General features: G+C 36.3%; 1 long non-coding RNA gene across 1 annotated transcript; it reads right to left on the bottom strand.

The window, feature by feature from the left end:
• Window positions 1-5,844: 5,844 nt before the first annotated feature.
• Window positions 5,845-9,879, bottom strand: LOC105377258 (uncharacterized). The gene is made up of 3 exons (XR_938833.1): window positions 9,693-9,879; window positions 7,898-8,002; window positions 5,845-5,927 (listed from the first exon to the last, which is right to left on the bottom strand). It is a non-coding gene; the product is annotated as an uncharacterized LOC105377258 (long non-coding RNA).
• Between the last annotated feature and the right edge of the window lie 6,525 nt (window positions 9,880-16,404).

Below are 16,404 nucleotides of genomic sequence, written 5' to 3' on the forward strand. Positions count from 1 at the left end.
ATATAGAATGGGAGAAAACTAGAATAAACATTGTTTTACCAGATTAGAATTGGATATACTGATGTGAGCTCATGATTTTTCTACCTGGAGAGAACTCAAATCCCCATCAATGAGTAAATACATAATGTTATATTCATAAAATAGAATAATAAATTGCAATAAAATAACAATTTGCAGCTTCATGCAACAATATAGATAAATCTCACAATAATATCTTTTAACAAAATATGGTAGACACAAAAGAATACACTCACTGCAATTCTATTTATTTAAAGTTAAAAGGCAAAAATATTGTTTAGGGACATTCTCTAGTGACAAAAACATTTTTAAAACATGGTAGTGACTTAGATAAAAAGTGGAGCTGGTCAAAGAGCACACATTTCAGTTTGTAAGATGGACAAGTTCTGGATATCTATGGTATAGCATGGGTGGCAATCAAATAATTTATTTGATTATGGTAATCATTATGCAATATATATGTAAGTCATCACATTGTCACATTACTTCTTGAATATATATAATATTTGTCAAATAAATTCTTAAAAACAAATATCTTGTGCTAAAAAATTTAAAAATCTGTTATTAATTTTAAAATATTTAAAATAAACACCGCATATTCTCACTCATAGGTGGGAATTGAACAATGAGAACACTTGGACACAGGAAGGGGAATATCACACTCTGGGGACTGTGGTGGGGTCGGGGGAGGGGGGAGGGATAGCATTGGGAGATATACCTAATGCTAGATGACACGTTAGTGGGTGCAGTGCACCAGCATGGCACATGTATACATATGTAACCTGCACAATGTGCACATGTACCCTAAAACTTAGAGTATAAAAAAAAAAAAAAAAAAAAAAACGAAAAGTGATCCAAAAAAAAAATAAATAAAAAAAAAAATAAATAAAATAAAATAAAGATTAGAATAGTGGTTACCTTTAGAGGGATAAGGATAAGGGGCATGAAAGAAGTTTCAGGAATGTTGTCCATCACCTATCTTAACATAGGTAGCAGTTACATGGGTATTTGCATTCTGAAAAATCATTGAGCTGTACGATTTTACAGTACTCTTTTTATGTGTGTTACATGTTATAACGAAAATAAAGGTATGACTATAGAATGGGTCCAAAATGGTTATATTATAAACATCGTAGACTTATGATTATCTAAAATTTCATAGATTGTATTATTTTTATTATCAATGTTTATCTTCATAATCAGCTTAAAATTAGATGGCATTATTCCTCTTGTATTGATGATGAAAACACTCTCAGAAAGGCTAAGTGATTTCCCTATAATTTTTAGCTAGGAAATAGTAGAGTTGGATACCAAATTTAGTCTTAAGGTTCAAGTTCAATATTCTTTTTACTATAATATGATCCTTAGTACAGTGCCTGACATATTGTGAGTTCTCAATGAGAGTTGCTGAGGTAAACCATAAGATATGGATATGGGTCTCCTTTTCTGTGCACTAGCAGTGCTCTGTTTATTCATCTATTTCTGTAAATATAGCATTCTGTTATAAATGAGTATTTATGTCTGGGTTCTCTACTGCACTCAATACCTTGAGGGCAAGAACAACACATCATCCATCTTTGCATTATTGCTGCCTAACACACAGGTCATAAAATTAGTGTCCAATAACTATATGTTGAATTAATAAATAATCATAGAAAAACAAGGCTGATGTGCATAGAGACAAATCTAGAACAAGTAATTGCTTAGCTTCTGATATGGTTTGGGTCTGCCCCCACCCTAATCTCATCTTGAATTGTAACTCCTACAATTCCCACATGTTGTGGGAGGGCCCCAGTGGGAGGTAGTTGAGTTGGGGAAAGTCTTTTTCATGCTATTCTCATGATAGTGAATAAGTCTCACCAAATCTGATGGTTTTAAAAAGAAGGGTTCCCCTGCACAAGCTCCCCCATTCTTTGCCTGCTGCCACCCATATAAGATGTGACTTGCTCCTCCTTGCCTTCTGCCATGATTTTGAGGCATCCCCTGCCACGTGGAACTGTAAGTCCATTAAACCTCTTTATCTTCTCAGCCTCTAGTATGTATTTATCAGCAGCATGAGAACAGACTAATACAGCAAATTGGTAGTGGAAGTGGGACACTGCTGTAGATACCCAAAAATGTGGAAAATGTGGAAGCAACTTTGGAACTGGGTAACAGGCAGATGTTGGAACAGTTTGGAGGGATCAGAAGGAGATAGAAAAATGTGGGAAAGTTTGGAACTCCCTAGAGACTTGTTGAATGGCTTTGACCAAAATTCTGATAATGATACGGGTAATGAAATCCAGGTTGAGGTGGTCTCAGATGGAGATGAGGAAATTGTTGGGAACTAGAGTAAAGGTCACTCTTGCTACATTTTTGCAGAGACTGGCAGCATTTTTCCCTGCCCTAGAGATTTGTGGAACTTTGAACTTGAGAAAGATGATTTAAGGTAACTACTGGAAAAAATTTCTAAGCAACAAAGCATTCAAGAGGTGACTTGGGTGCTGACAATGTGATAGAAAAGAAAATCCCATTTTCTGAGAAGAAATTCAAGCTGGCTACAGAAGTTTGCATAAGTAATGAAGAGCTGAATGTTAGTAACCAAGACAATGGTGAATAAGAGATCTTTGCAGCAGCCCCTCCCATCACAGGCCTAGAGGTTTAGGAGGACAAAATGGATTTTTGGGCCAGATACATGATCCCTTTGCTGTGTGCAGTCTAGGGACTTGGTGCCCTGCGTCCCAGCCACTCCAGCTGTGTCTAAAATGGGCCAAGGTATAGCTCAGGCTGTTGCTTCAGAGGGTGGAAGCCCTGAGCCTTGGCAGCTTTCATGTGGTGTTGAGCCTATGGGTGCACAGAAGTCAAGAATTGAGGTTTGGGAACCTCTGCCTAGATTTCAGAGTACGTACGGAAATGCCTGGATGCCCAGGGAGAAGTTTGCTGCAGGGGTGGAGCCCTCATGGAGAACCTCTGCTAGGGCAGTGCAGAAGAGAAATTTGGGGTTGGAATCCCTACACAGAGTCCCCACTAGGGCACCACCTAGTGGAACTGTGAGAAACGGGCCACCATCCTCCAGACCCCAGAATGGTAGATCCACCAACAGCTTGCACCATGCCCTTGGAAAAGCCACAGACACTCAATGTCAGCCCATGAAAGCAGCCTGGAGGTGGCCTATACCCTGCAAAGCCACAAGGGCGGAGCTGCCCAAGACCATGAGAAGCCACCTCTTGTATCATTGTGAACCAGATGTGGTACATGGATTCAAAGGAGATAATTTTGGAGCTTTAAGATTTGATTGCCCTGCTAGATTTTGGACTTGCATGGGGCCTGTAACTCCTTTATTTTGGTCAATTTCTTCCATTTGGAATGGCTGGATTTATCCAATGTGTATACTCTCCTGGTATCTAGGAAATAAGTAACTTGCTTTTTGATTTTACAGATTCATAGGTGGAAAGGAGTTGCCTTGTCTCGGGTAAGACTTTGGACTGTGGACTTTTGGGTTAATGCTGAAATGAGTTAAGACTTAGTGGGACTGTTGGGAAGGCATGATTCATTTTGAAATGTGAGGACGTGAGATTTGGGAGGATCCAAGGATGGAATGATGTGCTTTGGCTTTGTCTCCACCCAAATCTCACCTTGAATTGTAACTCCTACAATTCCCATATGTCGTGGGAGGGACCCAGTGGGAGGTAATTGAATAGGGTCAGGTCTGTCTTGTGCTATTCTCATGATAGTGAATAAGTCTCATGAGATCTGATGGTTTTAAAATGAGGAGTTCCCCTACACCAGGCCTCTCTCTCTTTGCCTGTTGTCATCCTTGCAAGATGTGACTTGCTCCTCCTTGCCTTCTGCCATGATTGTGAGGCCTCCCCAGTCACGTGGAACTGTAAGTCCATTAAACCTTTTGATTTTCTCAGTCTCAAGTATGTCTTTATCAGCAGCATGAAAACAGACTAATACAGCCTCACAATGCTTAGGATAAGTATATAAATGTACAAGCTCTGTAAAAAGTATTTTATTCTTTTAAGAAGCACTTCTCAATCCTCTGCTCAAGTCTTGTTCTAGAGATTTGAGGTTTAAACTTTATAAAGAAGGTGATGCAGCTGGGTGCTGTGGCTCACACCTGTAATCCCAGCACTTTGGGAGGCCGAGGTGGGCAGATCACGAGGTCAGGAGTTTGCGGCCAGCCTGACCAACATGGTGAAACCCCATCTCTACTAAAACTGTACAAATGAGCTGGGTGTGGTGGTGTGTCTCTGTAATCCCAGCTACTCGGGAGGCTGAGGCAGGAGAATCGCTTGAACCTAGGAGGTGGAGGTTGCAGCGAGCCAAGATCATACCACTGCACTCCAGCCTGGGCAACAGAGTGAGACACCAACTCAAAAAAAATAAAAATAAAAAAATTAAAAAGATGGTGATGCTATACTAGTTATGTGCTAATAAGTCCCCTTCTAGCAATCCAAATCTTATCATTGCTATGTCTTAAATTCTGTAATTAAAAATCAATTTTCTATAATTTGAAAAACAGAATGAAAGTAAATGTATAATTACATTTTAAAATTAGTGAAAATTTTTTGTTAGTGTGCTCAGATCTTTAGCTTAACTTTAAAATCAAACAGTGGTACACTAATGCTTAATTTTATTAGAATTACAGTTACAATTAATTTTGTATATGATATTTATGAAGTGACTGTTTTATGTCTTCTAGAATAGTTTTCTTTTCTGTTGTTCTTTATCTTCCTACGGATTTCTATCTGAAATTCGTATTAAGAAGGATAATGAAAGTGAAGCAATATACTTTACAAAATTGAGGTTAGCATTCTTTAACAACAAAAATATTGATTGTACCAAATCATAAGAGATATAATTGATTTAAAATTTCCCCTGACCATTAAAGAATCAATAAAAATATGTAAAAGCATAAATATAAGTGTCCTGGAGCAGTGACAGTGTTCATCTGCATGACATTCATATTGTATTACCTATTAGCACAAAATTGTTACAAGTTGAAATAATAAGGATGTCACTGAATAATAGCAAAATACATCTGCATTAAAATATACCTGGAAAGTTTCCTAAAATTATTCATATTTTACTAAATTAACAGTTTATAAAAACTTAATTTATATAAAAGGAGACAAAATGTTAAATGTGAAAATGCTTGTTATACTGAGCATCATCTTTTAATCATTCAAAATTGTGCCTTTTTTAACATGTAAATGTGGCTTTACAATTTGGCCAAGATGTTTCCAAAGTATTAGCTTGAGATTCTGGTTTTGATCATAATGCAGATAAAACTTAACCTCATTCTGTACACTATGGAATTGAATAAAACATATTTTCTTGTACTGGGCAACAGAGAGCATAGGTCTTTGAGAAAACAGGAATATATTAGGTGAGCACTACCTTTACCTTGTTTTTTTGCATGAGGGCACATTTGAAACGGGAGAGGCAAGTGGAGCTCAGAATGTGATGGTCTTGCTGAGTGGAGGAAACAGAGAAGTTCATGGCTGCTGAAATGGATGGGATTCACAGGAAAAAGTAGTGGTGCAGAGAGAGCTGCACAGAGAATTGAGCACATACAGTTTTTTTGAGTCTCCCTGGGGTCTTTAGCCAAATTTAAGTTTCACATGCCCAGCATAAGATTGTGCTAATCATGGCAGAAAGCAAATACCTGTGAACTGTGAGATGAATGGAAAGTCTAGAGGTCACATATATTGGAAGATAGATTTCTGAGCTGCCAGAATGGAGAGAACTGTTAGGAGGTTCAAGACATTCTATCCCCAAATATGACACCTTGGCATTTGAAAAACAGTAGAAGCAGGACAGTCACTCTCACCTTTCCCTTGCCATTACTCCTGAAGCAGGTCATAAAAACTTCATTCCAGTGTAACCTTCTGTATACCCAGATGAAAGAAACATCTTGTTCTCTAAAGCAGAGATATCAAATAGAATCTGAACAAACACACTTTGCTAATTTCCTCCCAATTTATTGCCATTCGATTTTCCTCCCTTGCAATCGTGCTTCTCTACAACTGTTCACACTTCATCAAACTACGCATAACGATACCTAGGTTTCCCTATTTCTTTGAATCTTCATTTCTAGAGTGCTCTGTCAGGTAAAATTGACATTAAATACACAATTAGGCTTTTATTAATCTGTCTTTTATTATAGGTGCCTTTGCCATAAACCTAGCAATGGGTGAGGAAATAAATATTTTATCCCATACAACTGACAGGAAACATCAAGAACTCATTTAAAATTTCAGGACATTTACTCCTAAGGAATAGGGTTATCTCATCCTAGGAGCATGGGCTACTGTAGACACATGCAGTCAAATGTTAAAAAGCAAACTTTGGCAGTATCAGGGTGAGCCACCATTTTTTAACTGTCTTCCAGAACTAAATTCAATAATTAGAAATAGGAAACAGCAAAATTCCTGAAGACAGGTGAGTAAAAATAATGCAAATTGAGGCTCCAAATTTACAAAAGGACTTTAAAAACCATGAATAGAACTTCAATGTTTTATTGGACAATATCAAGCAGTACAACAAACATGCAATCTGAGATTTAGAGGAGAGAAGAGAGATAGGGACAGAAAAAAGTTTTGAAGAAATAATACCTAAATTTTCTTCTCCAATTTTGATGAAAACATTGACACACAGATTCGACAAAAAACAATTAACCCTAAGTCAGAATTACATAAAGATGATCACGGGTAAGCATATCACAGTAAGATTTCCAAAATGAAGATAGGGAAAAAAAACCACTCAAAAGCACTAGAGAAAAAAAAAAAGATTCTATTCAGCTGGATAATACAATTATGTTTAGAAAAATACAAAGAAGAGGGTAATGAGAGACATTTTAAAGTTCTAAAATAGAAGAAATAATCTATAATTATATGCCCAATAAAATATATTATGAAAATGAATGTAAAATGAAATATTTTCAGATTAAAAAAAGGCTAAGGAAAATTGTCACCAGTAAACCTGTCTTACAAGAAATGGCAATGTAAATTAATCATGCTAAAGAGAAGTGTTATAATAAAGGCACTTGGACATATTTGAATGATGAGGTTTGGATGAGGTACATGTATAGGGAAATATAACATTTTCCCCACATTTCTTAATTTGTTCAAAATGCAATTGCTTGATTAGAGTACATATAATAAATTTGCATTGAGGGTTTTTTAGGGTATGTAAAGTTAAATGTATACTAGTGAAACTGCCTTTGCAAAAATTATAAGAGTGAGAGAAATCTGACATAGAAAAATTATGACAGTGAAATAAATCTGACCTAACTTACTCCACCTTGCCTCTAACCTCCAAACTTCCCTTATCTATTTCTAGGCATAGGCCAACTAACTAGGAAGGAATTTAGTTTATAGTTTAACTTTAAAACAAATGTAGTAATAGCTGCTTCCCAAAACTAACCTCTTCCTCACTCAGGGACCCAAACTGCTTTTGTAAAACTAACAAATTAGCCACAGAGTTAAAATTAACGTTCAAGAGTCACGTAGTCAGAAGTCACAAGATTTGCAACCTTCCCAATTTCTCCTATGGATAACATCACCATTGTAAAACCTTAGATTGGTGTGAGGTATTTTCCAGACTCTGCATTATGATAGACCACTGGTACCTCCTGAACCCACATTAAGAAACCGGCTCCTCTGGGTCGTGTGATCCCCACCCAAGAACTGACTCAGTGCAATAAGACAGCTTCAACCCCCTATGATTTCATCACCAACCCAATCAAGCAGCATTTCCTATTCCCTAGCCCCTTGTCTGCCAGACTATCCTTGAAAAACCCTTTTCCTGAGGTAAATGGTGCTGAGAGCTGGGAAGGAATCTGGAGCTAGATAAAAAGACCAACAACCTGGATAAAGAAATTCTCACTTACCCAAATGATGGTTTAGACACACAGTCTTGACTATTTTTAGTATTTCATTCTGTGCTTCTTGTCATGCTTAATTTTAATCATGAAAATAGAACTGAAGTTCCACATCTAAACTTGTGAAACAGAAGAAAAAGAAAAAAGACAGCCTTAGAAAGAGCTGATGAGCAAAAGGAATTGGGTCCTTGGCAGAAGCAGGAACTCAGAGTCAAAATATCTGTATTAATTACAGGACTTTAGGAATTCATGGAAATGTTGATGAGTTCATTGAACTTCCAATAGAAAGTAGATAGGTGGATATATCTGATTTTGTTTAAATTTTAAAAAACATGGTAACATTGGCTGGGTCACATTGACTGATTCAATGTCTAACATAAATTAATTTAACCCGTCACTGTTAATTTGCTTCAATTTAACAGACATTTGGATTTAGTAACATCTTCTACTGTTTCATTAATTTTGGCATTTACCATTTTGTGAGAGGCTAGTATGGGTAAATGTTGTAGAGAATTTAATCAAACAGAATTCTTCTGATGATAGACATAGTTTATAGCATAGAACATTCCATAATCATACTGAATGATAATACAGACAGAAATAATTCAGAGGCATGAAAAGGGACAAATAAAGGGTTATGGGTGTTTATAGGAGAGAGAAATCACTTCCAGGAGATCTTGATAGAAAATGTAAAATTTGTATTGGGCCCTAGATAATAGGAATAATTTGAGCACATGGGGATGGGGTGATGACAGGACATTCATTCTATTTAGAGGAAGGAGGTGCAAAAGAATGGATACAGAAAAATACTGGGTGAAAATGGAGAATACCAACTTTGTTTTTGTTGTAGTGTGTGAAGAAGAAAAATAGGTTAATAGATTGTGAAGCTAGAAAAGTGTTAGTTTCAGAAACCATGAACCTCAGTCCTAGAAGTTGTGTCTCTGGCCAAGAATAATTCTTTTTGTGTTTCTCTCAGTGTGGGTGGGGGTTGGGGGAGCTTCTAGAACTCTTCTTCAGCAACATAAATACTTTAACTGAGTATTGAATATTTTGTGTAAGAATATTTAAGATACCTTTGCCAAAGTCCTTAAAGAACAGACTTGAATTAAAGGCACTGCTGAAGAAATGGCTTGTCGGGTGGGTACGTGTCAGGACTATTTCAGAAATAGAATGTACAGAACAAGGTAATACACAGTTTTCTCACTCACAGTTAATGCTACCAACACTCTCACAATTGGTGAAGGTGAATCATAGGAATCATTTTAGATATTGCCCTTTCCTTTGTCTCCCATAATTAATCCCATAAAATAGATTTTTAATTTCTCTCTGTCTTTCCATTTTCAAGAGTACCGCCTAGGCCTCTCTCATGGATAATGGCAATAGCCTCCTAATTCTTACCAGCTTAAAAATAAAACCTAGCTGAAATTATATAATTCTCCATTGTAAGTATATCCATGAAGTACCATTATACTAACAATAAAATTAGAATTTCTAACTATGGAGTACAAAGCCCAACATGATCTGGTTCATGTGGTTCTATAATTCCTTTCATGGGCTCACTTATTATATTCTACCTATATGGGTGCTTTTTTCATTCTGGCACATCCCAAGCTTTTCCCCTCTTCTGGGACTTTGCATTTGTCTCTTTGGATGAAATGTAGCCCCTTTTTAGCTTTGTTGCATGGCAGGCTCTGACTCACACTTTAGTTGTTAATTTAAGTGTTACGTGTTTAGAGTCGTTCTCCCTGATATTTTACCTAAACTACCCCCTATCTTAATAAATTCTGGCTGCTATATCAAATACCGTAGACTGGGTGGCTTAAACAACAGGCATGTATTTCTTTCCGTTTTGGATGCTGTAAAGTCTAAGCTCAAGGTGTCAGCAGATTTGGTTCTTGGTGACAGCCTGCTTCCTGGCTTCTAGGTAGCCACCTTCTTACTGTGTGCTCAACATGGCCTCTCCTCACTGCGTGCATATGGAGAGACAGAGAAATTTCTCTCTCTTCCTCATCTGATTTAATTTAGACCTTATCACTTTTTAAAGGCTCCACCTCCTAATATCATCACAATGGGGTTAGAACTTCAACATATGAACTTTGGAGGAGGAGGGGGTGCACATAATCCTCCATAATACATACATACATACATATGGAGTGGTGTTATGGAATGGTCTATACTACTGCTCCACACATACCCAATGTTTTACTCTCTATCATATCAAATTGAGAATTATTTTATGGCAATTATCACAATTATCTCTTCCATATCACTGTTTTTTTCTTCTTGGTTATGTAGCAATCTGAAACTATCTTGTTCATGCATTTGGTGACTTGTTTATTTTTCCACTAAAATACAGCTCTCATGTTTTGTCCTTATTTATATCCAAGGACCTGGAAAATTGCATGGCACATAGGAATGGTTCATTAATTATTCTTTACATTAGTGAATACATTATTCTAATAAACAGGGAATGTTACTAAAAGCTACTATAACATATCCTGTCTGAATTACTAGGGGAATCTTTAATGAAATTGAAGAATTGGTGATAAAAAGTTCATTAGGAAAGGAAAATAGCGAGCTAAATTTGAGGGGTACAATTAACACAACTGTAAAATCAGTTTTACATAAGTTTTAGAAGCACAAAGCACTGTGGGGATATAAAGGTACATACAGCATGTTCCTGTTCCTAGTATTTCCCATTTAGCAGCTCATAGCTGGATTTATATTAGTCACTTTTCTGATGCACTGGGTCCTAGATGCTCAGAGGACCCTAATCCCCTAATCAAGAGTGATCTCATGGCATATAAGAGAATTCAACTTTCAGGATTAAAGTGAGTACATCAAGGTCTAAGCTGAAAACAGATGGCCTACTCAAGTAGGTTATGTAAGAGACCATATAAAAAATGTGGACATGGTTAATGAAAATCAATATGGGGTAGTAAAACACAGTGGGACCTGTCACCATGCATAAGCCTGCAAGGCTAACTGGAGAGAGTAGTTGCCTAAATGCAGTTAACTGCTGTTTAGCAGAAAGAAAACTCTCAAAATACCCCCCTACATTTTTACCTCTGCTGTCCCTGGTAAGTGGCTGATACTTTTCATTGGTCAACTCCACCAGAAGCCAAAGGGCAAAAGAACCTGTAGCTTTATTCTATAAAATTCTGCCTCCTTAAAGACAGAAAAGAGTTAAATAGCAAGAAGTTCCCATGTTTTGACCAATAAATATTCATAGAATCTAGAAAAAAGGCCTGATACGTAATAATTCCTCACTAAGCATTAAAAAAAGTTAGTGGGTGAATGATTGCAAATAAGATGTAATCAAACGAGGGAAAGTTACTGAAAGCTATTAAAAGATATTCTGTCAGAGTGCCAGGAGAATGGTGATATCTGAGGGTATATCTTAACATATGTGGCAAATGGAAATTACCTAGAACAATTTATTTTCCATTACCTGTAACTATTTCAGTAATGCGTTCCTGTAGTTACCAGTGCAGAATGCCTGCTATGTGCAAAGCATTATTTGAAACCTTTTACAACTCAGTGAGGCAGAAAAATGAGGAAAAAATATTCTTTGTTCCAGGTTGCACAAATGCCAAGTGTTGGACTGTGACTAGAACTCACATCATTCCAATTTCAAAGTTAGTGCTCTTAACCATGGCATATTGCCTCCTTGTACTGTGAATCACCCGTTTCTTTTCCCCTATGGTCATGATTTCCCAAATTACTCTATTATTCCCATAACCCCTTTCTTCTATGAAATAAAAGATTTAGATGAGGTGATTTCTAAGATTTATGCCATTTAGGAGATGTGATATATTTAGGTACGTTATAATTATTTGTGTGATATTGTAGTGTAAGAACATGACTAAAAATTTGGAGGTAAAATACATAAAATAGGAAACGCAAAAACAGTAAATAATAATTACTCCTTGATATAACCTAGATTTCTGAAGAAATATTTAGGAAGGAAACTCCAAAGTTTAAATCAGTAATACCTTTACTGCAGTAGAAAGTATTATGTTACAGGGTGGGTAATGTGTTCTTTCAGTTTAAACTGCCTTTTAACTGGATTATTTATCACATATGCAAATAAGCTATTTAATTAATAAGGAAATAGATACCACGGTTGAACCTCATTGAAGCCTGTTCTTTAATTACATTGATATCCTGAGTTGTTGTAATGTGATATTATAGTATCTAAGAGATTCATGGATCAAACAGTATTTTAGAGTTTATGAAATATAGGAATATTTTAGTATTTTCTCATGCACATTAATGTAAGTAAAAATAAAAAAATACTATTTTTGTCTTTACTCACACAACACTTACAACACAAAATTGTATGGGGTTTTAACTACACCAGCCAACTATCCAACTCTTCAGACATCAACTGAGTGTCCTACAATTCAGTTATGACACTAATTACCTACAGTTTCTGCAGACCCTGCTGGTTAAAGGCTCAGTCCCCCAAGACTGCCCCCCACTTCAGATGACAATCGCCAAGTAATACGTCCCCAAATTAGCCACACTTCTCTCTGACTTGGCTACAACTTGAGAGTTCCTATGACACCCCTTCTCAGGTTCAACAATTTGTGAGCTATGATGGCTCACACAATTAAGGAAAACACCTGCTTACATTTAGTGATTTATTATTAAGGATATGACAAGGGGTACAGATAACTCCAGATGAAGAAATGCAGAAGGCAAGATCCAGAAGGGTCCTGAACACAGGAGTTCTGTTCCTGTGGAAATGCAGCACGCTCCTGGCACAAATATATGTTCGCCAACTTACAAGTCAAATCCCAATATTTTAGGGACTTACTGGAGTTTCTACAATTTAGGCATAACTGATTCTTAACTCAATCTCTTGCCCCTCTGTCTTTCCCATGCAGGATGCTGAGGTAGGGCTGAAAATTTGAAGCTTCTAATCATAGCTTGATCTTTCCGGAGGCCAGCCCCCATCTTGAAGCAATCCCCCTCATTAGAACAAAAAAATGCTCCAATTACCCAGAAAATTTCAAAGTACTTAGGAGCTCTTTGCCACTTCTATACCCATATCACCTAGGAAATTAAACGGGTTTTAGGAGCTGTGTCAAAACCAGAGACAGAGAACACACATAAATTTACTAATAGGTCACAGTGAGTCAGGAAAAATTTCAGAATTGATTCAAAGGTAAGAGAAGCCTGTGTTTAAATGTAGGCTCTGCAGTTTTTAAGCCAGTAATGCAGAACATTTTACTAAATACTGTGAGGATACTTTATTCGGCTTTTGTGAGGATAAGGATATATAGGTTATACACATGCTTAGTATAGTGCTTTGTCTATAGAATAGACTCAATAAATGGTGACTAAATTATAATTGTTAATAAAAAAATAATATCATAAGCATTGTAATATATACATTCTTATTATTTAGCATAAAATCTTACAATGAAAGTCAGTTTCCATTTGTGCTGAATTCAGCTAAGCCACTGAGCGACATCATATATTTGGGGCTATAATTTAGTCAAATATGATTCAATCATTACTCTAGTGTTTTTAAAAAAATGTTTAATGAGCATCCTCTCTCACAGGTAAAAACAAAGAAACCAGCCAATAACTTCAGAGTTCATAAAATGTCTAAGTAAATCTCTCTTAGTTCATTTTCCAATACATGTGGTGTTAGAGGCCAAAAGAGATACGTAGATCTCTGTATATGTATTTACTAGTCAGGAGTCTCCAGAGAAACGGAACCACTAAAATGAACACACATCTATTATCTTCTTTATATGTGTATAACAGGAGATTTATTATAAGAAATTAGCTCATGTGATTATTGAGGCTGAGAAATTCTAAGATTTGCTGCCTGCAAGCTGGAGACCCAGCAGCTGGTGGTGTAAGTCAGAGTCCAAAGGCCTGAGAACCAGGAAGCTGATGGTTTAAATCCTAGTCCAAGGGCAGGAAAAGATGAGATGAGATGTTTGGTAAGGAAAAAGAAAAAAAAAAGTGGGGGGAATTCTCCTTTGTTTGACTTTTGTTCTATTCATTCCTTCAACAGGTTGTATGATTCCTGCCCACACTGGGGAGAGCAATCTATGGAGGCTACTGAGTTGATTACTAATGCCTTCCAGAAACACCCTCACAGATATACCCAGAAATAGTGTTTAACCAGATATTTGGGCATCCCCTGATCCAATCAAGTTTATACATAAAATTAATTATCAGAGTACAGTATAAAAATTCACGATACATTTCAGAAGACAGTGAAGTAAAGAAAGGAGCAGCAAGGTAAATATGCAATAATCATAACCAGGGGGATAAAGCACTAGATGCAGAGAATAAGGAACTGCCAACATTTGTACAAAATGACTTAACAAATATTTATGTATCATAAACATGAAAAATGATTAATTTATTAGGAAATAGTATATATTCATTGAAAATATTTAATTCTTACATATATAAAGCAAAAGGGAGAGAAAACTCCTACTCTCCAAAATCTCATTCTTTGTGTGTGTGTGTGTGTTTGTGTGTGTGTGTGTGTTTGTGTGGATATGTCTATAAAATGAAGTCCAGTCTTGCTTTGGACACTTTCTCTCAAACATTTTCATAATTCTCAAGATTGTTTTTATGTGTTGCCTGAGTATAATGTAGACCTCTCCACATTGTGTCAGGGAAAGTAATTTTCCTGCTATAAGTACCAGTGAAGTTTGTAAGATGTTTGTGTGTGTCTAAAAATGAAAGATATGTTTGTGTGGGGCTAAAAATGTTGTCACTCACATAAAATTAACACATAATATGCTTTAGCTATAATCCTCCTAATGCTGCGTTAAACACTGTTGATCTCAGTCATATGCCACTCTCTAGGGTGATACCCAGTGAGCCATGCCCTGCATAATCTTCTCCCCTTGAATGCTGCAGAACATGTGACCGATTTCTAGTGAACAGAGTATGACAAAGGTGATGGAATAATCACTCCCATGATTTTATTACATGATATAAGACTGTATCCTAGTAGACTTGATGGAGATTCTCCTATTGGCTTTAAAAAATTATGTTACCATGTTGTGGAAATATCACAGAGTCATTTAGTAAGAGCTGCAAGTGGCTTTTTAGAAGTTGAGAGTGGTCCAGAAATGACAGTCAGCAAGAAAACAGGGACCTCAGCCTACAGCTAAAAGAAATTGAATTTTGCCAATGGCCGCATGAACTTGGAAGAAGACCCTGAAATTCAGAAAAAATGGAGCCTGGCCAAATTTTGATTGATTGCAGCCCTCTGAGATTCTGAGCAAAGGACCCATCTAAGCTGCCCCTGGAATCCAGCCTAAGAAAACTGTAAGATAATAAATGTATGTTATTGTAAGCTGCTGTGGTGTGAATTTTACAGATGACCTCAGCAAATTTCTGACTACAAGTACCCGCTGGATAACTAGACACACCTGATATTCATCAACAGCTTATTCAGCAGTGGATTCCACATCATAGAGGTACTTTTCCTTGCCCCTCCACTTAGGTGCTCACATGTGGTGTTGGTGAGAATGGTGGGAGTAACTAAGAGAGAGTTCAAGTCGGCAACATAATGCACCTACAGCCAATTTGACTTGCAGGCTCTGCAGTTCACTCCCACCAAACTCTTTCAGGATGGTGATTTTCTCCCAGAATCCCAAGCCAATGCACTTCCTGCTTAGTTTGGAGGCTCGTTAATAAATCCCACGGGTCCATGTAAGTCTGACACAACTGGAAAACATAGACCAAGATCTTTTACAAAGAATGCCGAGCTTTTCACAAATGAAGACAATGAATTGCTTATTTTATTATTAATTTATAATTACAAGTTATTTTAAGATATTAAGTTTATATTATAAATTATATAAATTAATGTAAGAAATTTGTTATTTACTTTCATAATCTTGTCTTCAGTTTAAGTTCTTTTCAGTTAATCTCTCTGACATTCCTAACACTTCAGCTAAAACTTTAGTATACATGCAAATAATGTATAAATCTTTTACAAGAAAATAGGAAAATGTTATACATATTTGCCAGCAATAAATACGATGTAGCATATTTCCTGGTTAGTATAATATATATTGTATTTTATCGGCTATGCTATAACCCATAATGAGTGTTAATACACCACACACACACACACACACACACACACACACAATTTAGTTTTATCCTAGTTTTGTTAACATCTATTTTCTTCTGAAATACATAGTCTAGAAATAAAATTAATATTTTAAGTGAAAAATAATGTATACTTTCAAAATTCAGGTAATATACAAGACTATAAAGAGACACTTCCACTGGAGAGAAATAATATGAAAGATTTTATGCACTCTTAGTTAAGTATTGTTTGATCCATAAGTTGTTAGCTTTCCATTGCTTTCATTTAACAAATATTCCTTTGTAACTATAATTTCTCTGTGCACACCTCCTCGTACAAATTTAATTTATCCCCTTCCTTTCAATATTTATAATTTTCCTTAGCTCATTTTGAAATATTATCTGAGAAACTTTTGATAAATAACTTTATA

The sequence above is a fragment of the Homo sapiens genome, chromosome 4 (genome assembly GCF_000001405.40).
Source record: "Homo sapiens chromosome 4, GRCh38.p14 Primary Assembly".
Taxonomy (NCBI): Eukaryota; Metazoa; Chordata; class Mammalia; order Primates; family Hominidae; genus Homo; species Homo sapiens.